The sequence below is a fragment of the Homo sapiens genome, chromosome 16 (assembly GCF_000001405.40).
Source record: "Homo sapiens chromosome 16, GRCh38.p14 Primary Assembly".
Lineage (NCBI taxonomy): Eukaryota > Metazoa > Chordata > Mammalia > Primates > Hominidae > Homo > Homo sapiens.
In genome coordinates this window covers 75,862,373-75,886,824 of record NC_000016.10, presented here as the reverse complement: position 1 = coordinate 75,886,824, position 24,452 = coordinate 75,862,373, and the positions used below count along the sequence as shown (strand labels likewise).

General features: G+C 38.0%; 1 long non-coding RNA gene across 2 annotated transcripts in view; it reads right to left on the bottom strand.

Annotated features, from left to right (window-relative positions):
* The window catches only part of LOC105371348 (uncharacterized), a 154,623-nt gene that overhangs the window by 27,848 nt on the left and 102,323 nt on the right, over window positions 1-24,452 (bottom strand). Inside the window, exon 4 of one of the 2 annotated variants that reach the window (XR_001752255.1) lies at window positions 8,426-8,507. The exons of the other annotated variant lie outside the window; for it this stretch is intronic. This is a non-coding gene — a long non-coding RNA (uncharacterized LOC105371348). Of the gene's footprint in view, window positions 1-8,425; window positions 8,508-24,452 lie in introns of those variants that run through there. 2 annotated transcript variants of the gene reach the window in all.

Sequence of the window (24,452 nt, the reverse complement as noted above, 5' to 3'; positions counted from 1 at the left end):
AGTGAAAGAATTAGTAAATGAAAGAATAAATAAATGAACAATAACTAGTGAGTTGAGATTGAAAATTCAGAGAGAGGTAAGGTGATCCAGGACTCACAGCACAGGTGCTGAGGCGTAAATCTCATTCTAAATGCAGTGAAGAGGCATCAAAGGTATTAAGTGGGAAACGATAAGATCTAATTTATATTATAAATGTATACTTTATAGCAAGAGAAACAACTGGGAGAAGCAGAGAGGAGGCAGTACGTTATTTGTGGCTCCAGTCAGGTGATGGTTGAGAAGCTGTAATAAAGAGGTACATTGTCAAACTGGTTTGAGGCCATTAATGATGGCAGCAGAGATTGCTTTCAGGATGAGGAAATCCTCTTTAAGGATAAGTAAAGGGGCCAAACGCTGCCTGAAGATGGGGGTGGGAGGCAGAGACTAAAGACGACCCATTGCATGTAGTGACATGGAAGTCACTGCTAACCCCAGTATCGAGGGAAAAACATTAAGGCCACTCACAGAAAACAAATCTCAGGAAACCAACCTGAGAATTCATGGGAAATCAATAATGTGGATAATTCAGCTTTGAGAAGAGATGGTACTGGTTTTTAAATCAAAGATATATTGATCTCACATGGAGGTTGGAGAAAAACAGCTGGCGTATCAAGCCCTGGTCCCTTCATATGCCATCTTGCAAACAAACCTCAGTCCAATTTTACCCTTACTCTAGGCAAAATGCCCTTGAGAAATGGGAAATAGGTTAACCTTCCCTAAGTAACTCATTCTGTTGTTTAACCCTAGCTTTCTGAACTAATGCCGCTAAATCCTAGGTAAATCCTCCATATTGCAGGCTATTTTAGCACCATAATCTTTTCTCCCTGCAGGATCAAACCAACTATCTCTTCAAATAGAGTCAGGTTTGTTTTGCCTTTTTAGTACATTGAATATAAAAGTCCAAATAAGAGCCTGGGAGGGTAATTCTGTGTGATTATATTTCTTTATCACTGATTTCAAAAGCCCACATCAACCATAATTGGCCACGTTTTTGAAAATGCTACCTCATATTGCTTATAATTTGTTAATTGTTTCTCATATATTTTTCCTATAAATTTCCTGGATCTGCATACTTACTTCATTTGAAGGTTACTCTCAGATATGCTTTCTTATGTAACATTCAAATCATCTCCTCTGGGCTTTGATGTTACCAAAATTATAGTATTTCAAAAAATGAAAGAAACAATGCCACAGTAAGCAATGACCTCAGTGTCCTGAGATCACTGATCAGTATATTCTTGTATTTTGCTTTCCTCACCCATATTTTATACTGTATTTGTTACCTCCAGATTTTACTATGTTAGGAAGTTGAACAAATTAATTTACTTCCTGATTAGAAGGCTCAATCATGTAAAAAGGAGATATTTTCAATATCCAATTTTCAATCTTCAATATTTCAATACTTAAATAATTATTTGAATCAAATAAGAATAACATGCAAGTCCTCTTTCTATTTTATTCAGTCCTGTACCTGGCACATAGTACACACTTAATGAATTTGTGTTGAATGAATGAGGAGTGAATGAAGACATTTCACAAATTTTGGCAGAGTGTGTGATGGTGTCAATATTCTGATATTAAAGGGGTAATCGTGTGATATGATTTGACTGTGTCCCCATCCAAATCCCATCTTGAATTGTAGCTCCCACAATTCCCATGTGTTGTGAGAGGGGCCTGGTGGTAGGTAATTTAATCATGGGGGCTGGGTCTTTCCTGTGCTGTTCTCGTGATTGTGAATAAGTCTCACAAGATCTGATGGTATTATAAGGGGGAGTTGCCCTGCGTAAATTTTCTCTCTGCCTGCTGCCATCCACGTAAGACGTGACTCACTCCTCCTTGCCTTCCGCCATGATTGTGAGGTCTCCTAGCCATGTGGAACTGTGAGTCCATTAAATCTCTTTCCTGTATAAATTACCTAGTCTTGGTTTGTCTTTATTAGCAGCATGAGAATGGACTAATACACAGTGGCAGGAAGAAGTCACTGTGTGCGTTTCATTTAGAGGTGTGTGATTTGTTTGAATTGGTGCTGTCTTATAGAAATTTCTAAGATTATAGAAATGTTCTACATTATATTGCTCAAAACTATATCCTTAGCTACATGTAGCCATAGATCTCTTAAAATATGGCTTAGTGCACCTGAGGAACTGGACTTTTAACTTTATTTCATTTTAATTAATTTAAATTTAAATAGCCACATAAGACTACCATAGAGGACAGTGCATCTTTAAATGAATCAGTACATGTTTGGCCTGGATAAAATATTTGGATTCTTTTTAAAACTAAAAGCATTTTCCTGATAGGCCTATACAATGTTAAAAAAAAAAAAAACTAATTTAAACACCAGTTTGGGGTGTTTAAAACCGATAAGTTTTAAATATCAGAAAATATCAAAGACTGAGGCAGGAAGAGATTCAGGTCGCCTGGAGAAACACAGCCTTTGATGGTCACTCAGCCCTGTTCGCTCCTCCACCTCAGTTGTTGGTACCTCTGCCTCAGGATTTACCAAGTTCACATGATGTTTCTGCAAGCTTTAGGGCTGAGTCTTAGCAATCTGAGTGTATCCATCTTCTAATGTGCCTGGCACAGAGTAGCCATTTAAGTATCCAGTGAATGTATACACAGCAGAAGGTAGATGCTACTTTTTTCATTAGGTACAAGTAGGTCTATGCTGCATATAAGTGAAATATCACATGCATATACACAAATTCCATAATTAGGCTTACCACATATCCCAAGTTGACCTAGACAATACTAGTTTAAACTTACTGTCCCCATGTCCCCATCTGGCTCACACTCTCTTTCATTCTCAAAAGTTTCACTTTGGATTATATCAAAACCCTACTCTTTATCAACTTTCCACAGCTGTATTTGTTTGGATTGCTACATTTTGAAGCAATCAATATATTACTATTATTATACTTGAATTCTCCTTAGCCTGATTATTATAAATGTACATTAAAAGCATTTCTTGACTCACTGCAGTATGCTTTTATTAAGTAATAATACTTAAAGTTATTAAGTATTATTACATAATAATAATACAATAATAATTTATTGTAATTATTATATTATAATCATACTTAATATTATAACATTGAAATATAAAATTAATATAGTGAAACAAGATTAAATAATATTTTTAAATTAAATTATACTTAATAAAATAATATCTTAAAAATACTAAAATATAAAAACCACTTGATTTCCATAAAAGCTAAAGATCTTGATGTGTCATAATTTAAAAGGAAATATGTACAATATTAGGACCTAATGATGAAATTAAACCCTCGCTGGCATCCTGTGTGTTGCAAAGAGCACCAGAACAGAGTTGAGAAACCACGTGAAACCAGCCACCGTGTGTGCATACTTGAGGCTGCCCTTCACCTGCCCCTGCCCAAGTTACCTGGCACATCAAACCAGAATTACAATTCCTGCATTAAACATTGTTCAAACTAATTTGAAATGTAATTGCACAGTCACATCAATATAATCAAAGAAGTGTGTTTTTTACAGATGAGGTATAATCATTTTCTAATTACTAATTAAGAACTCTCCGTAGTTTATTACAAAATAAAACCTTAAAATTGTTTGGTGAATTACACAGTGTGAGTTAGCCCAGTTGCCTTCTGGGAGTCTTCAGGTGACGGAAATACAAATAATTCACTGTGAAACCCTGCACTCTAATTAGTATTCTGAAACCAGAATTCACACCACCATGCTTTATACCTTCTCATATTCACTACCAGTTTATCTAATCCCAGTTCCAGAGGAGAATGGTATTGATTCTAGTGGCTCTGCATGGTTGCTTTGTTGTAATTGCCAGCAAATAACCAACCTTTGTAAATACCTCTTATTCAAGAATGGCTACCCGGCACAGCAGTAGTGGCTCACATCTGTAATCCCAGCAGTTTGGGAGCTGAAGCAGTAGGATTACTTGAGTTCTATGCCAGCCTGGGCAACATAGTGAGACCTTGTCACTATAAAAAACAAACAAAAAAAGAATGGTCCCTCTGCACAGTGAAGTTTAAAGTCCAGCTAAATAGTTCCTGAGAAGTCAGTTAAGTAGTTGCCTGTATTTAAATGTCACACGGGCATTGAATGAGCAGTAGGAATACTTGCGTTCTATCTCTCATACCTCTCACTGAGCCTCCCTCTCCCAGTTTCCTTGTGTACAATATTGGAATAATTACCCCAGAATAACATACCACACAAGGTTTGAAGGGCCAAGAAATGAAATAAAATATGTGGAAGTGCTCTGTGAGACTCACTGTGCACATATAATTAAATATGTTAAGGTTTTTGTTAAGTAGAATTGTCTTGTAATGATATATGTTCTTTCTCTAGGAAACAGAATGCACAATGGAACTGATGAATATTCATTGCCATCTTTCTATATGCAAGATATGGTTCCAGATGCAAACGATAATGCAAACATTATTGTATTTGTTGGCCTCAGCCTCTAAAAGCCTCATAATTTACTAAGAGGAAGTTCCGACTTAGTAAGAAAATGCCTCGCCCAACATCTGTTACAAAATAAATCTCGTATCTATCTTGTTGAAAGGGATTCTCTATATTTCACGTATGTCCTGTGAAAAGAAATTTTAATTTCTTTCTTTCTTTAACTTTTATTTTAAGTTCACGGATAAAAGTTCAGGTTTGTTACATAGGTAAACTTGTGTTATGGGGGTTTGTTGTACAGATTATTTCTCCACCCAGATATGAAGCCTAATACCCATTAGTTATTTTTCCTGATCCTCTCCTTCCTCCCATCCTCCACCATTTGAAAGACCCCAGTGTTGCCGGGCGCGGTGGCTCACGCCTGTAATCCCAGCACTTTGGGAGGCCGAGGCGGGTGGATCATGAGGTCAGGAGATCGAGACCATCCTGGCTAACAAGGTGAAACCCCGTCTCTACTAAAAATACAAAAAATTAGCCGGGCGCGGTGGCGGGCGCCTGTAGTCCCAGCTACTGGGGAGGCTGAGGCAGGAGAATGGCGTGAACCCGGGAAGCGGAGCTTGCAGTGAGCCGAGATTGCGCCACTGCAGTCCGCAGTCCGGCCTGGGCGACAGAGCGAGACTCCGTCTCAAAAAAAAAAAAAAAAAAAAAAAAAAAAAAAGAAAGACCCCAGTGTGTGTTGTTCCCCTTTATGTGTCCACGTGTTCTCATCATTTAGCTCCCACTTATAAGTGAGACCATGTGGTGTTTGGTTTTCTATTCCTGTGTTAGTTTGCTAAGGATAATGACCTCCAGCTGCATCCATGTCCGTGCAAAGGACATCATCTCATTCTTTTTTAGGGCTGCATAGTATTCCATGGTATATATGTACCACATTTTTCTTATACAAATCATCATTGCTGGGCACTTAGGTTGATTCCATGTCTTTGCTACTGTGAATAGTGCTGCAATGAACATACACAGGCATATGTGTCTTTATAATAGAACGATTTATATTCCTTTGGGTATATGGGTATACACCCAGTAATGGGATTGCTGGGTCAAATGGTATTTCTGTCTTTAGGTCTTTGAGGAATCACCACAGTGTCTTCCACAATAGGTAAATTAATTTACACTCCCACCAACAGTGTATAAGCATTCCTTTTTCTCCACGACCTCACTAGCATATTATTTTTTGACACTTCAATCATAGCCATTCTGACTAGTGTTAGATGGTGTCTCACTGTGGCTTTCATTTGCAAGAAATTTCAATTTCAAAAAAATTATTTTGAAACATATTTTTACATGTGTAAATCAATTTAAAATATCTATTCTCATATATTACAATATGTTTTATGCCTGTATATGTAGATTAGATTCTAAAACTGATGTGTGCTAGCATGCATTTAGTCCATAAACATTTAGTGCAATTAGCATCTTCTTTTGAATTTGGCTATTTTATTATTCCATTTTTTATTTCTATTTACTTTACAGAAAGTATTCCGTGACTATTTTAAGTAGTTATAATGGAGATTTAAATGTTCTTGCTTTCCTTAGTACTGTGCAATACAGATTAGTACTTTTTTCCTGGTACTTTAAAACACTTTAACTTCCTTTACCCTGCTTCCATTATTTTCCTCATGCCACCCATGATTTAAAATCTACAAGATATTAGGTTCATTGTTGTGTGTTGTCGATAGTCATTTATATTTATTCACAAGTTTACTCTTTTGGGCATTGGCCATCACTTCCTGAATCTCCATGTTTCCATCTAGGATCATATTCCTCCTGTGTGTATAACCTCCTTTATCATTTCTTTCAATTACAACCTTCTGATGACAATTAGTTTCAGTTTTCATTTGTCTGAAAACATCTATTGTGCCTTCATTTTTAAGGAACTTTTCACTAGTATATGGATTCTGAGCTGGTGGTTATTTTAATTCACTACTTTAAGGTTATAATTCCTGGATAAAGAAAATGTGGTATATATACACCATGGAATCCTATGCAGCCATAAAAAAGAATGAAATTATGTCTTTTGTGTGAACGTGGATGGAGCTGAAAGCTTTCATCCTTAGCAAACTCATGCAGGAACAGAAAACCAAATACCGCATCTTTTTGCTTATAGGTGGGAGCTAAATGATGAGAATGTATTAACACAAAGAAGGATACAACAGACACTTGGTTCTACTTGAGGGTGGAGGGTGGGAGAAGGGAGAGGAGCAGAAAAGATAGCTATTGGGTGTGGGCTTAATGCCTGGGTGATGAAAAAATCTGTATAACAAACCCCTGTGACATGAGTTTACCTGCGTAACAAGCCTTTATATGTACCCTCGAACTTAAAATACATGTTTAAAAAAAAAAGAAAAGACAAGAAAAGAAAAAGAAATAAAGTTGTTATTCCATTGTCTTTGGGCTTTCATCATTTCTGTTGAGAAGTTGGCCATCACCATTCCTTGGAAGGCATTCTTCATCTATGGCTTTGTTAATATGACTCTTAAAAAAAAAAAAAACTTTAAGTTCTGGGATACATGTGCAGAACGTGCAGGTTTGTTACATAGGTATACATATGCCATGGTGGTTTGCTGCACCTATCAACCCATCATCTAGGTTTTAAGCCCCACATGCATTAGGTATTTGTCCTAATGTTCTCCCTCCCCTTGCCCCCCAACCCCTAAAAGGCCCCAGTGTGTGATGTTCCCCTCCCTGTGTCCATGTGTTCTCACTGTTCAACTCCCACTCATAAGTGGGAGTTGAATAATAGGACTCTTTTTCTATAGCACTTTTTTTGTTCTGTCTTTGGGTTTCAGCCATGTTCCCATTATGTGCCAATATGTGGCTTTTCTCTGATTTTATCCTGCTTAGAATTTACTGAGCTTCTTGAAATTGTGGGTTCATGTTTTTGAAAATTCTCACCCTTCACCGTTTCAAGTATTGCTGCTGGCCCATTTTTTCACATCTCCCCTTTTGGGACTCCAATATTTATATGTTAAGCCTTTTGAACATGTGCCACTTTTCACTTATGCTTTGTTCTGGTTTTTTGAGTGTTGCTGTTATTATGATTAGTTTTCCTCTTTGTAGTTTACTTTGGTATTTTATTCCACCCTGCCTTCTAATTTTTTAGTCCTGTATTTGCTCTTCAATCTGCTGTTAAAACTCTCCACTGAATATTTAGTTTTCAATGTATATTTTTTGGTTTATAATGTCCATTGAATTTTTTATCAATTTTCATTTTTTGTTGACACAGTCTATTCTTTCATCTATTTTATCCATTGTTTTCTCTCTTTTCTTGTACATATTTTAATAGTTATTTTAAAATACTTTATGCTAACTCCAAATCTGGATCATTTCTAAGTCTGAGCCTCTCACCAACATTTTTCCATCATAATAGGTCATATTTGATTGCCTCTTTGTGCATACGAGTTTTTATTGTACATTGAATATGGTTTATGAAAGAACCATTCATAATCCAGATATTATATTATCTTCCACTAGAGACAGATTCCCATTTCATGATAAAGTAATTAATTGATTGGCTCAAAACAATTGTAAATTAATCTGGGTTGGAGCTAGGCTGCCATTTGCATAAGACTTTCTCTCTTTGGTTCACTTGTATTCCTGAGGCATGGGTTTCTAAAATTTTAGATTAATAGCCTGATGGGTCTGTTCCCTCACCCCAGGAAACTGTGGGAAATCTCTCTTGCCTTCAGGGTTTCCAGCCTAGCCCTGTAACACAAAATCCCTGATAGTCTCAAAATCTGCCCAAAAAAAGTATTTCTGGAAGGACCAGCTTTGTGTTTCCTCCCAGATGGATCTTTATTCTCTTTGCACGTCAACACTGGAGGACTTTTCACTCTCTCTCTCAAAATACTTTGAGCTAGATCCCCATCTTTCATTATGTATTAGGATCAGGGCAAAATTCCCATCGAAAAACACACGCACAGCTAGAAATCAGTATCTCACCTCTGATATATTCTCTCCTCTCTGGAATTTTGGTTCATCTAATCCAGGATGCTTCCACAGCACTCTGATACCTTCAAAATTTGTAAATATTTTATTAGGCATTTTTATTTTGCAGTGATCACACTTGCCTGCTCTGAGCCATCACATTATTCTTGAAAGTGAAAGTCATATTGATCTCTTTCTAATTCTGGTCCAATATATTTTGCACATGTCCTTTAAGACAGTTTTAAAATTAAACCTTGATTATATTTAAACTTTGGAGTCCAATTTTATAATGAATGATATCTTTAACCTCAAATTGTCATTGAATGTTTTTCAGGAAATTTTTATTATTTCAGCAGGTTCTCTAGTAGAGAGAAACTGATACCAGAAGTATTTTGGGCTTAGCTCTCATTCCATATAGAATGCTCACTCACCAGATCACCTGGAGGGTCGTAACATTGCCTTAGACAACATATTAATCATAGAATTATATTAAGATTATGTGATATCCTTCCCATCAAACTTAAAACAAAATTGAATATATCATGTATGCATCGTTAAAAATTGTGTGGTGATGCCCTCCAGGCATCTAAGAAAGAAATCTAAATACAGAGAGATAAAATAAATTGCCTAAGAGTACAGAATTACCTAATGGGAAACTTGAAAAATAAATTAATTCTGATTTCAAGGTCTATCTTTTTTTTAGAGAACTGATTCTTACCAGTATTTTACTCAACAAATGCCCCCCTAAAAATAAACTGATGATTCAATCCTATTGTGGAAAAGTAGTAACTTTGGATCCAGTTTCATCAAATTATTCATTCCAAAACTCCAATTATAATCAACAAATTGAAAAGCTAAGAGAAAAGTACATGTGTGCCAGTAAAAGAAATAATCAGCAGAGTAAACACACAACCCAGAGAATGGGAGAAAATATTTGCAAACTATGCATCCAAGAAAGGACTAATATTCAGAATCTACAAGGAACTCAAACAAATCAGCAAGAAGAGACAAGTAATCCTATCAAGTGGGCAAATGACATGAACAGACATTTCTCAAAAAAAGAAATACAAATGGCCAAAAAACATGAAAAAATGCTCAACATCACTAATCATCAGGCAAATACAAACTAAAGCCACAACAAGATACCACCTTACTCCTGCAAGAATGGCCACTACTGAAAAGTCAAAAAACAACAGATGCTGGCATGGATGTGTTGAAAAGGGAATGTTTAAACACTCCTGGTGGGAATGTAAATTAGCACAACCTCTATGGAAATATGTATGCAGACTTCTTAAAGAACTAAAGGTAGATCTACCATTCCATTCAGCAATCCTACTACTGGGTATCTACCCAAAGGAAAAGAAGTAATTATATCAAAAAGACACTTGCACATGTATGTTTACTGCAGCACAATTTACAACTGCAAAGATATGGAACCAACATAAGTGCCCATTGACCAATGAGTGGATAAAGAAAATGTGGTATACATAAACCATGGAATACGACTCAGCCATAAAAAGAATGGAATAATGTCTTTTGCAGCAACTTGGATGGAGCTGGAGGCCATTAGTCTAAGTGAAGTAACTCAGGAATGGAAAACCAAACACTGTATTTCTCACTTATAAGTGGGAGCTAAACTATAGGTATGCAAAGGCATAAAAATGATATAATGGACTCCAGAGACTCAAAAGTGGGGGCAGGGGTGGAACAAGGTATTAAAAACTACATATTGGGTACAATGTACAGTACTTGAGTGACAGGTGCACTAAAATTTCAGACTTCACTACACAATTCATTCATGTAACCAAAAACCACTTGTACCCCAAAAGCAATCAAAATGAAAAGTTTTTAATTTTAAAAGAGAGAGAAGCACATGCTCTAATCTCTGTAATAAGTCAGATGAACAAAATCCTGAAACAAGAACACTATTCAAGATGCTAAAGCATTTCTACTAATTGAGAACAATAAAAAATTTGCTAATTCATAAAGAGTTACTCATAAAAAGAAGCCCCCCTCTTTGGTGTTGAGAGTATATTTAAAGAGACCACAAATGAATTTTAACAGATACCCCAGGGGCAGGTGCACAAAAGGAACTTTATTTTATTTTTTTTTTAAGTTTTTTTTTCTTTTATTATTATACTTTAAGTTTTAGGGTACATGTGCACATTGTGCAGGTTAGTTACATATGTATACATGTGCCATGCTGGTGCACTGCACCCACTAACTCGTCATCTAGCATTAGGTATATCTCCCAGTGCTATCCCTACCCCCTCCCCCCACCCCACCACAGTCCCCAGAGTGTGATATTCCCCTTCCTGTGTCCATGTGATCTCATTGTTCAATTCCCACCTATGAGTGAGAATATGCGGTGTTTGGTTTTTTTGTTCTTGCAATAGTTTACTGAGAATGATGATTTCCAATTTCATCCATGTCCCTACAAAGGACATGAACTCATCATTTTTTATGGCTGCATAGTATTCCATGGTGTATATGTGCCACATTTTCTTAATCCAGTCTATCATTGTTGGACATTTGGGTTGGTTCCAAGTCTTTGCTACTGTGAATAATGCCGCAATAAACATACGTGTGCATGTGTCTTTATAGCAGCATGATTTATAGTCCTTTGGGTATATACCCAGTAATGGGATGTCTGGGTCAAATGGTATTTCTAGTTCTAGATCCCTGAGGAATCGCCACACTGACTTCCACAATGGTTGAACTAGTTTACAGTCCCACCAACAGTGTAAAAGCGTTCCTATTTCTCCACATCCTCTCCAGCACCTGTTGTTTCCTGACTTTTGAATGATCGCCATTCTAACTGGTGTGAGATGGTATCTCATTGTGGTTTTGATTTGCATTTCTCTGATGGCCAGTGATGATGAGCATTTTTTCATGTGTTTTTTGGCTGCATAAATGTCTTCTTTTGAGAAGTGTCTGTTCATGTCCTTCGCCCAGTTTTTGATGGGGTTATTTGTTTTTTTCTTGTAAATTTGTTTGAGTTCATTGTAGATTCTGGATATTAGCCCTTTGTCAGATGAGTAGGTTGCAAAAATTTTCTCCCATTTTGTAGGTTGCCTGTTCACTCTGATGGTAGTTTCTTTTGCTGTGCAGAAGCTCTTTAGTTTAATTAGATCCCATTTGTCAATTTTGGCTTTTGTTGCCATTGCTTTTGGTGTTTTAGACATGAAGTCCTTGCCCATGCCTATGTCCTGAATGGTAATGCCTAGGTTTTCTTCTAGGGTTTTCATGGTTTTAGGTCTAACGTTTAAGTCTTTAATCCATTTTGAATTGATTTTTGTGTAAGGTGTAAGGAAGGGATCCAGTTTCAGCTTTCTACATATGGCTAGCCAACTTTCCCAGCACCATTTATTAAATAGGGAATCCTTTCCCCATTGCTTGTTTTTCTCAGGTTTGTCAAAGATCAGATAGTTGTAGATATGCGGCGTTATTTCTGAGGGCTCCGTTCTGTTGCATTGATCTATATCTCTGTTTTGGTACCAGTACCATGCTGTTTTGGTTACTGTAGCCTTGTAGTATAGTTTGAAGTCAGGTAGTGTGATGCCTCCAGCTTTGTTCTTTTGGCTTAGGATTGACTTGGCGATGCGGGCTGTTTTTTGGTTCCATATGAACTTTAAAGTAGTTTTTTCCAATTCTGTGAAGAAAGGCATTGGTAGCTTGATGGGGATGGCATTGAATCTGTAAATTACCTTGGGCAGTATGGCCATTTTCATGATATTGATTCTTCCTACCCATGAGCATGGAATGTTCTTCCATTTGTTTGTATCCTCTTTTATTTCCTTGAGCAGTGGTTTGTAGTTCTCCTTGAAGAGGTCCTTCACATCCCTTGTAAATTGGATTCCTAGGTATTTTATTCTCTTTGAAGCAATGGTGAATGGGAGTTCACTCATGATTTGGCTCTCTGTTTGTCTGTTGTTGGTGTATAAGAATGCTTGTGGTTTTTGTACATTGATTTTGTATCCTGAGATTTTGCTGAAGTTGCTTATCAGCTTAAGGAGATTTTGGGCTGAGACGATGGGGTTTTCTAGATATACAATCATGTCGTCTGCAAACAGGGACAATTTGACTTCCTCTTTTCCTGATTGAATACCCTTTATTTCCTTCTCCTGCCTAACTGCCCTGGCCAGAACTTCCAACACTATGTTGAATAGGAGTGGTGAGAGAGGACATCCCTGTCTTGTGCCAGTTTTCAAAGGGAATGCTTCCAGTTTTTGCCCATTCAGTATGATATTGGCTGTGGGTTTGTCATAGATAGCTCTAATTATTTTGAAATACGTCCCATCAATACCTAATTTATTGAGAGTTTTTAGCATGAAGGGTTGTTGAATTTTGTCAAAGGCCTTTTCTGCATCTATTGAGATAATCATGTGGTTTTTGTCTTTGGCTCTCTTTATATGCTGGATTACATTTATTGATTTGCGTATATTGAACCAGCCTTGCATCCCAGGGATGAAGCCCACTTGATCATGGTGGATGAGCTTTTTGATGTGCTGCTGGATTCGTTTTGCCAGTATTTTATTGAGGATTTTTGCATCAATGTTCATCAAGGATATTGGTCTAAAATTCTCTTTTTTGGTTGTGTCTCTGCCCGGCTTTGGTATCAGAATGATGCTGGCCTCATAAAATGAGTTAGGGAGGATTCCCTCTTTTTCTATTGATTGGAATAGTTTCAGAAGGAATGGTACCAGAATATAGCTGAAGACACACAGGTAACCAAAGGCACTACTTGAACAGCTTCATGTGCTCTTTTCAGTACAACTATTTATTTAATGAGATAAAATAAATCTCAGGTCATGATACAAAAATTAATATTCTTCACTTTGTATTATCTAGAGGATTGCTTGTGGAAATGGCACAAAAGAAAACCAGATAGCAGGTTTTAATTCCAGCTTTGTCAGTTGCTAACTGTGTAAATGTTAGCAAGTCTGGATTTTTTTTTAGTTTCTATTTACTTCTTTGTAAAATAGAAATAATGAACACATTCCCTATTTACTGTATGAGATGCAAATGAGAGTGAATCTATGAAACAACTTGTGAACTGGGTATCACTACACATAACTGACAAGTTAATAAATGAGAAATTCGTTAACTTCATAGAATTGTAGACCTGTCCAAAACAAAAACACTTTTATTTGTATTGCTTTTTCTTCATTTGTACTACAAATACACAAGCAGTAATCAAATCCACTGGAATACAGAGATTTCAATAGGGTTGGTCATTCTGCCTGTGTCTTTTTGCAATGGATTGCATATTCAGGCCCATCCCCTTCCCCTAAATTCCTATGTTGAAATGCCAGCCTCCAATGTGATGATATTAGAAGGTGAGGTCTGTGGGAGGTAATCAGATTATGAGGTTGGAGCCCTCTTGAATGAGATCAGTGCCCATATAAAAGAGACTCTGAAGAACTCTCTCATCCTCTTTCTGCCATGTGAGGGTACAATAAGAAGCCAGCACTCTGCAGCTTGGAAGAGAACCCTCACCAAAGCTTGACCACGCTGGCGTCCTGATCTCAGACTTCCAGCCTCTAGAACTATGAGAAATAAATTTCTGTTGTTTGTAAGCCACGCAGTCTATGACACTTTGTTACAAAAACCCAAAGAGACAGAGATGCTCTTTCTGGCAAAGTAAAGAGACAGTTTCCTTGACCAATACTAAGATTTGAACATTCCATTAATGGTAAAATAACTTGTTCTTGTTAACACTAGATCAACTATGTATAAATATGTTTACATTGAGTGTGCAATGACTACTTTATGATATCATCAATTGGAACTAAAGTACTTGTAGTTGGCAGCTAAAAATAGGTGCTGCTTCAATACAAGCTTGTGAAAAATAAAGTAGAAACAGCAAAGAGTGCCTTGGAAAGATACTCAGTAGAAACAGAGCAGAGGTCTTGGGGAGGGGTTGATGTGATTTTACTTTTAGGTTCTGCTAACAACTGGGATGAATTACTTTAGGGAACAGTTCAAATCATAGAAACTTGGTACACTTTCTCCCTCTAAGAGTATTGTTGAAGTTTTACTAAAAACTTTACCTGTTCATAGTATGTTAGCTATTCTGTCTTTAGAATCTCAGAAATACTCGGAAGTAAGCACAAATTTTCTTCAAGAAAATTATCTTGCTATTATATTAGAAGATAAAAAGTAAATTCATATGACTTTACACTGATTTGTGATTGTAAAGGTAAAATATAAACCATTTCTGAGGCCAGCTTTAAGCTGTTCTCAGATACCTTCTTCCTCTTCCTCTTCTTTGTCTTCCTCTTCTTCTCCTTCTTCTTTTTCCTCTTCTTCTCCAAGCCTTAGAAATTAGAATCAACCATCTGGTTTTGCTTTGGGAGTGGTGTATAATTCCTACTGGAAGTACTTCACTGGTGGTCAACTCTCCAACCACTTGCTCTTTCCTTGGAGCTTGTGGAAGTGCCAGGCTGAGCCAAGACCTGAAGGACAGTCACCCCAGAGCCTCCTAAATCTGCAGGGGACCTTGCATGAGTGCAAAATAAACACTTGCTCTTTTAGGCCACTGGAATTTGGGGACTGCCTAGCATTTCATTGGTTCTCAAGGGGACATCAGTCAAAATCTTAAAACCTAAATCTTAAATATTAACTTAAAGAAGGGGTAGTAAGGAAAATTATATTACAGACTGGAAAGACGGCAAGCCACATTATGAAGGAGCAAAGGTATTTGGTCAATGATCATGTCTGATAACCTTTGAGACAGTTCATGTACCTAATTATATTGTATCTCTATGGGAAGTAATTAGAAAACAGAATGTTAATGGCATGAGGTGCTCACTATTGGATGGATTTGACAAAGTACTTCAAGAGAGACCAGCTCAAAAAAGAACTTCCATCTGCAAGCAAGAATAAAAAGCAATAGAGAGAGACCAAGATTCTAGGGTTTGCAAAGTCAGAAGTGGCACCATCTCCAGCTAGTGAAAGATGAAAGTGTGAAAACCTCTTTCCCCTCATTCTCATCTCTATCAGTTTTCTCCCACATTGACATAACAGCAATATTTGACACTCTTCATTTGGCTTCCCAATCACCCCACTGTCCTGTTTCTTCTCCTTCCTCACTGATCTCTCTCTTCAGTTTCATTTATGGTTCTTCCCCATCTCCCAGACTTCTCTGAACACTGTAGGGCCACCAAGCTTTGTCCAATGATGTCTTCTTTGCCTATGTATACACTCACTCCTTGGAGAACTCATGGTTTTAAATACCGGATGCATGCTGACAATTCCCAGCTTACACCCCAAACTCTGTCTGCTTGACATCATTTTTTTTAATTATTATTTGAAACAGGGTCTCACTTTGTATCCCAGGCTGGAGTACAGTGGCAGGATCTCAGGTCACTGCAGCCTCAACCTCCCAGGCTCAAGCAATCCTCCCACTTCAGCCTCCTGAGTAGCTGGGACTACAGTCTGCACCGCCATGCTCAGCTAATTCTTTGAACAAATGGGAGTTTTTTGTCATGTTGTCCAGGCTGGTCTCAAACTCCTGGGCTCAAGCAATCTGTCCACCTCGACTTCCTAAAGTGCTAGGATTAAAGGTGCCCGGCCTTGACATCTCTATTTAGACTGCAAACAGGAACCTCAAATTTTCTGTCTCTAAAACAGAATGCCTACCCCCCACTAAACAAACAAACCAACAAACACCTAATCCCCTACATTGGCTCTTCCAACAGGCTTCCCAATTTTACTAAATGGAAATCCCACCCTTCTGGTTTCAGTGCTTTAAACCTCGGTTCCTGCTTGTCTCCTCTCCTTCTGTCACAGCCCATGTCCAATTCATTAACAACCCAATTAGCTCTATTTTTCAAAATATATCAAGAATCTCAGCCCTTTTCACTGCCTCTTCCATTAACGCTTCACTGTAAGCATCTCTTTCGGGGATCACCATCACAGCCTCCTAACTTTTCTCCCCACTTCCTCCCTTGGCACCTCCTGGAATCTATTCTCAACATATCAGCCAGTGTTTCATTCAAAACACAGGTCCGACCCTATCGCTTCCCAGGCTCGACACTGTATCATGATTCATTCCCAATTGACGTACAGAAAAATCCCATGTCCTTTTTTTTATTCCTCTATATCCTTTTGATCTCTAACTTCACCATTTATTCCTCAACCTTCACTTACTCTACTCCAGCCAGAGTGGCCTCCTTGCTTTTTCTCAAACATGCCAGGCAGGCTCCCACCTCAGGGCCTTTGCAATTGATTTTTCTCTTTACCTAGAACATTATTTCCTCTTTCTGTTCCTTCTCCAAATTTTTGCTCAAATGCCACCTTCTTTTGTCTCTTTTCTTTGCTCCGGTATCCCCAGCAACCAGGAGAGTGCCTGGCACATAATAGGCTTCCGTTATATGTTTGAAAATCGACACACAGAAAGAAAACACATTTAGTATCAACCATCCTTCTCAACACATTCAAAAGATACTAGCCCAGAAATGTTAGTGGAGAGACTGAGCACAGGTTCCTCATGGCCAGATGATAACCCAAAGCAAGGGGACGTGGCTGAAATTGCCCAGCCTGTGTGGGTTAAAGCAGTGAGTCTGTATTGGAATCCATGGCTGCAGGGCTCTTTCCACTCCAAAGCACTTCACATACACACACACAAACATATGCACGTGTATACAACTGTGTGTACATACCTAGTTTGTAAATGTCTTCAGAACCAACCTGCCCTGGGTGACCCTGGGACAACAGACAGGAGCCCCTCAGGTCCTTGTTTTCTTTGTAAACTCAATATAGAGGCTGGAATCAATAATACCCAAAAATACCTAATTTTCCCTCTAAGACTGAAGAATAAGATATCCATTTTATATTCCAGCAGTGCTTTCAGAGTTCAATAAAGAGAAAGACATTTGCACCCTTAAGCAAATATCAGTCTCTGGATCAGCTTAAACATGTCACAAGGCCTGCATCTGGCTCAGCAAATCAGCTACTAATGACCCTGCTCTTCCTACACTGCTTTCTCCTGAACCAGGAAAATTATGCTTCCTAATATTTCAAGATTCTCCACACTCATGTTTTAAGATGTTTTTGCAAATTGACCTGCACTAGTTTTGAGATGAGATTTGCATTTCAGAATTCATATTGCCGTTTAAGGAAAACTAAATCCTCTTACAAATCATGTGTCAACAACCTGAATACCATCATGGCTGAATGTAATCAACTTAAAAAGATAAGTGTGTTCCTAGAACAGAGTAAAACGGCTAACACCATCTCTTAGATGATACGCTCTGATAGACAGGGACTTAACATTACTTGGAATATCTCGATCTTCAATCTTATCTTTTCTGCTAATGGATTCTCCCACAGTAAAATAGGATACAGAATTCAGGACTAAAGGAGACATTTTAGTCACTACTTCTCTTGCTGTTTGTAATGCTTTTTTTTTTTCTGTGTTCGCAACTCAGTATATGTTTTCGTTTAATGTACTCGGATATCAGCAAATCCAAACTCAAGTGCATTTCCCATTAGGTAGGATGCTATCTAGACACACCCAGGCTTCCTTTAGAGTTAGTCATCCAAGCAGATCCAGTTAAAGTCCATCCAGTTGTGCTGACCATCCTGCATACAAATCTCGCTTCATACACTGGCTGCACTGTTTGCCATGAACACTGCAGTGCCAGAATCAGTGACCTAGAAATGCACATCCATTGCAAGTAAGCTGTAATAAGCAATCCTCACTTGCACCCTGTCGTTGTTATGGTAGTATGTGCCCAATATATTCAGTGCCTAAGAAGAAAATGCCACATGAATATCCATTTGTCCCAATTCTGAGCTCAATTAGGGTAATTATAAATCAGAGCCCCTGGTGTGAATAGAATATATGATGCTCAAAATGATGTTCATTTGGAGGTACCATTATATTCATCTTATAACCATCCTGTCCACATAAACATCCTTCCTTTCCTTAGTCTAGGAAAAAAAACCCATCAAACTCTCTTTCTCAGTTGAACTAGGGGAAACATTTTACTCTAATTCTCTGCTTTGGTGATTTCACCTTTAAAAGCTCAAACATTTTCCTTTTATGTGCATTCCTGCACTGCTGACATTCACCTCCTTGTGTATCTCTTTGTTGCAGCAGGGTCATGACATCTAACCTTTTAAACAATCTATATAAAGCTGCAGCAAGTTTGCAGAAATGAACCAATGTCGCTGGCAAACAGGACTTGAGAAGTTAATTTTCTGTTAGCTAGTGAAGTCCATTGAATGCTATATTTCCTTTTCACTGTTCTCAATCATTTATTTTACATATCAAACCTGAAGTGAAATTTGTTGCCTTTCTCTGGCAGCTGGAAGGAATTTCACATACAAATTCCTGCTGTATTTATTGCCTTGCCTTATGTATCTAGTGACTGACTCCAGGAGAATCAGTTCAGGAAATTTTACTAGATTTGGTCTTGAAAGGAGCCATTACCCACAGCCTTTCACCACGTGTTTGCTTTTTTTGTTGTGTAACCAAAGGAATCCCCAAAGAAAAACTCTTTTAGCAACAAGTGGACTTTGAGGAATCACCATGCTGTTTTCCACAATGGTTGAACTAATTTACACTCCCAACAGTGGGATAAAGAAAATGTGGCACATATACACCATGAAATACCATTAAAAAAGAACGAGATCATGTCCTTTGCAGGAACATGGATGGAGCTGGAGGCCATTAGCCTTAGCAAACTCATGCAGAAACAGAAAATCAAATACCACATGTTCTTACTTATAAGTGGGAGCTAAATGATGAGAACATGTGGACATATAGAGGGGAACAACACACACTGGGGCCTACCAGAGAGTGGAAGGTGGGAGGAGGGATAGAATCAAGAAAAATTACTATTGGGTACTAGGCTTAATACCTGGGTAACAAAATAATCTGTACAACAAACCCCCATGACACAAGTTTACCTATATAACAAACTTGCATATGTACCCCTGAACTTAAAATAAAAGTAAAAAAAAAAGAAAAAAACAAGTGGGCTTTTTTTCATTAACCCAGTGGTGCACAGCAGCAGCAGTGTAAAGGCAATAAACCCTTGCCCTTTTAAATTACAATTTCATCTTATAAATATGTGAATATTGTCCCAAATTAATTCTACTTTCTTCAAAGATATTTGGCCATTTTTTTATCCCCTGTAATATCTTTTTTAGCACAGGGTACTGAGAAAGGAGCAAATATGGAAAGAAATGCATGAGTAAATGAGTGAACAAATTATGTCTGTGTTGACTTCTGGGATGTTTTTATTTCTCATTTTCTTCAAGGAATACTCAGCTTCTTTACCAGCTGGTTTTGCGGAAGGGGGTGAGTGAGATTGTATGCACACACACATACATGTACATTATTTTATATTTTTACTTCCTACTATAATTTAGTTCTAATCTGCAGGACTCCCTCATTGTTCCTTAAGTGACAGCTTAACAGCCTTGTCATCCTCATCCTCATTTTCAGTTCCCACCAGCCCCTTCCAGAGCCTCTGCCCAGCTTCTCTGCAGATTCCAAAAGCAGAGGAAGCCAAGCAATGGATAACTTAAGATTCACATAAAGTGTGACATGAGCTCAGTAGAAGGGATGAGAGCACTGCAGAGAGAGAAAGATGGCTATAAAAATAGTTCCTAGAAAATTTTCATTAGATGTAGTCATCACTATGCTAATATTTTCCCATTGTATAGCCTTTTTGTCCCCAAATTATTTTTGTAGAGATCAATTAATTAAAACTCACAGTGTTTTAGTCATATCACTTGATTTAGTTTGTGCTGACTATCCTGAAAATTGTCATAGGAACAAAATAATGGAGTTGCAATTGCCATATTTCTGAAGTAATTTGAATGGGAAATTCAAGTAATTTCCCATTTCTTGAATTTTATTCCTATTAATAAAAGACACTGCATTACAAGAGTCGAGTGGAAAGAGGAAACACACTTCTATTTTGCATCTGTCGAAACAGGACTCAGAGTTCTTTAACACAATAAGAAAAGACAAAGGACTCAGTCAACCAGGTATGAAAACTTAAAACATTCTTATCCCCAAGCCAATCTGGATATGTCTTTTCCTTAAAAAGCAAAGAAAGGGATACAAAATAAATTTTTAATTTTACGGCACAGAGAGTTGTTCCATACGAACAATTATACATAAACTTCCAAATGCCTTGTCTCCCCCACCATGAAAAACTCCATTTAAAGTTGCTGTCTTTTAAATTTTTTTAAGAAATAGAAATATGAACTCAACAAATAAATAGCCAAATTAGGATGAATTGAATGTGTTTGAAATGTTGAGAATCTATTTACATTTTAATAAGATATTTCCTCCAGGCAGGTCTTAGATAAATCTCCGTAGAGATGAGGCTAGGACACAGAATTAAGAAGAAAGAGGCGCCCTTGACAATTTGGAGGGAAAAAAAGATAAGCAGAGTGGTGTTTAATAGAAACAGATGTGGATGTAATCTCTTTAAGAAGAAAAAAGCTGTACAGCTATAACATAGAGGGGAAATGGCTTTGGACAAGTATAATGGAAAAGCCTGGGGAGCTTTGGAACTCAAGCTAAGAATGACTCAGAGTCTTCTAATTCAAAACCTAACAACTGGTGTGTTACGTGGATAACTTGAAGAAAGACATGGTGTTAAGCACAATATTTTATTTATAAGAAAGATTAATGGGAATTTCTGGAAGTGGCAATAAAGGTTGAAAAAGGAGGGTTTTTCCAAGGATCTAAACTAGAAATACCATTTGACCCAGCCATCCCATTACTGGGTATATACCCAAAGGATCATAAATCATGCTGCTACAAAGACACATGCACACGTATGTTTATTTCGGCACTATTCACAATAGCAAAGACTTGGAACTAACCCAAATGTCCATCAACGATAGACTGGATTAAGAAAATGTGGCACATATACACCATGGAATACTATGCAGCCATAAAAAATGATGAGTTCATGTCCTTTGTAGGGACATGGATGAAGCTGGAAACCATCATTCTCAGCAAACTATCGCAAGGACAAAAAACCAAACACTGCATGTTCTCACTCAGGTGGGAACTGAACAATGAGAACACATGAACACTGGAAGGGGAACATCGCACACTGGGGCCTGTTGTGGGGTGGGGGGAGGGGGGAGGGATAGCATTAGGAGATATACCTAATGTAAATGACGAGTTAATGGGTGCAGCACACCAACATGGCACATGTATACATACGTAACAAACCTGCACGTTGTGCACTTGTACCCTAGAACTTAAAGTATAATAATAGAAAAAAAAAGAACTTAAAACAAAAAAGAAAAAAGAAAAAGAAAAAGGAGGGTTTTTCAGCCTCAAAATGTATAAAGAATCCTAGTCATGGACCTATACGCCAGTCTGTGCATCTCTAATCTATAACTGTTGACAATTGTTTTCCATTCTGGCAGGAAGCATTGGAGTTAACATTACGGAAAACCTATTAACTAAAGTTTGAGCCCTACAATATGTTAATGGAAGACATAGGATTTACCTTCATTTTTTAAAATGACCACTTATATTTCTACAATGTTTTGCATAGCTTAGAATATTATGAAATAGACCTACAGTTGCCATTCTACCGTAGTCACCAGCTGATAAAGGGTTAGTGGTTAAGTGACAAGGAGAAATTTGGGGAATGTTGGGTAGAAGAAAATGTCTCCAGCACACATCAAGTCAAAACAGCACTCCTTCACTCTTCAGAGTGTTCTACCTTTGAGAAAATATTTCCTTTCCTTGTGTTTTATATTTTCCTTAATGTTTAGGAAACAAGACTTTGTGACTCAAGTCCTTCATCTTCCTCTTTGAAGGAAAAGAGATGGGCAGAGAAGCTGTCGAGAAAATCCTTTACACTAAGTACCATTCAGCCATAAAAAAGAATAAGATTCTATCATTTGCAACAATATGGATGGAACTGGAGCTCATTATGCTAAATGAAATAAGCCTGGCACAGAAAGACAAACATCACATGTTCTCACTTATTTGTGGGATCTAAAAATCAAAACAATTGAACTCATGAACATAGAGACTAGAAAGATGGTTACCAGAGGATGGGAAGGGTAGTGGGGGGATAGGGGGTGGTAGGGATGGTTAATTAGTAGAAAAAAATAGTTAGAAAGAATGAGTAATACCCAGTATTTGATAGCACAACAGAGGTACTATACTCAATAATCATTTAGCTGCACATTTTAAAATAACTAAAAGAGCATAATTGGACTGTTTATAACCCAAATTATAAATGCTTGAGGGGATGGATACCCCATTTTCGATCATGTGATTATTACATATTACATGCCTGGATCAAGACATCTCATGTGCCACACAAATATATACATGCCCTACATACTCACAAAAATTAAAATTAAAAAAAGAAAACCCTTTACCTGGGGTTTACCTGCAAAACCTAAAATAAACAGTAAAAAGTAATGATTCTGACTCTTCTATATCTTGACAACTTAGCTCTACATCCCAGGCTAGAACTCGGCCAGAACTCTAAGCCCATCTCTCAAAGCTGAACCCCACCACTGAAAGTTATTACAAAAAATTGTGCAGAGTAAATCAACTAATCCCAGTGAATCAACTAATCCAAGGCTGTGATCATTTTAATAACTCTCCACAAAGGCTCAGAAAATTTCTCCACCCATGAATTTCTTCTACACAGCTGTGATTATAATGTGATACAAAAGCAACATCCTTCAGCTAGTGCAGTTGCCAGGAGAGAGTGGCAGAGCCGCAGAGTGTGGGGTAGACCCTACATCTGAATCCATCAGCAAGCCGTGCTTTCTGCCTCTCAACACAGGCACAGCAAGAGTCTTTAAAGGAGAAAGACAACTGCGGGGCCTGGTAAACCGAAATGTCTCCTTAGCTAGCAAGCATTTTGTGAAGCACAGGAAAGAGGAGAAAGACCTATAGCACAAATTTATTTTTTTAATCCAAGTCAATTTCAAGGATACACAGATTCAGAGTAAATTATCTTCACATGATAAGTATTATCATATTATTATTGCAAAAGGGTTCAGAAACTCCAAAGAAATTATTTTAAGGTAGTTATAAAATTTCGAGTTAAAAACTTCATCCGGCCGGGCGCGATGGCTCACGCCTGTAATCCCAGCACTTTGAGAGGCCGAGACTGGCGGATCACGAGGTTAGGGGATCGAGACCCTCCTGGCTAACACGGGGAAACCCCCTCTCTACTAAAAATAAAAATTAAAAAAAATTAGCCGGGCGTGGTGGCGGTCGCCTGTAGTCCCAGTTACTCGGGAGGCTGAGACAGGAGAATGGCGTGAACCCGGGAGGCGGAGCTTGCAGTGAGCTGAGATCGCGCCACTGCACTCCAGCCTGGGCGACAGAGCGAGACTCCATCTCAAAGAAAAAAAGAAAAACTTCATCCATCCGTTTAAAAATATAAAGTGGATGTTATCTGTTATAAAGTAAGATATGGACATCCAGGGTGGAACAAACTAGCCAAAGAGCAGCATTTCCAGAACCTGTATTAACAGAGATTATCTCTCTCATTTAGATTTTTTTCTTAAATATTCTAAGTTGCTTTGAAGGAGGCTTCCTATTTCCATGGCAGTTTGTTTAATTAATGGAATTGTATGTCTGCTGTGCCTAGCACTTGGCTACTTATTGTAAATCCTTGTAAGGAAAGTAAATGGCATTTATGATAAGAGCCTATCTGCCGGGCACGGTGGCTCACGCCCGTTATCCCAGCACTTTGGGAGGCCGAGGCGGGTGGATCACAAGGTCAGGAGTTCAAGACCAGCCTGACCAACATGGTGCAACCCCGTCTCTACTAAAAATATAAAAATTAGCCGGGCATGGTGGCAAGCGCCTGTAATCCTGGCTACTCAGGAGGCTGAGGCAGGGGAATCGCTTGAACCCGGGAGGCGGAGGTTGCAGTGAGTCAAGATTACACCATTCCGTTCCAACCTGGGCAACAAAAGCAAAACTCCGTCTCAAAAAAAAAAAAAAAAAAAAAGATAGCCTATCAGCAAGAGCCTACCTGAGGACACACACACACACA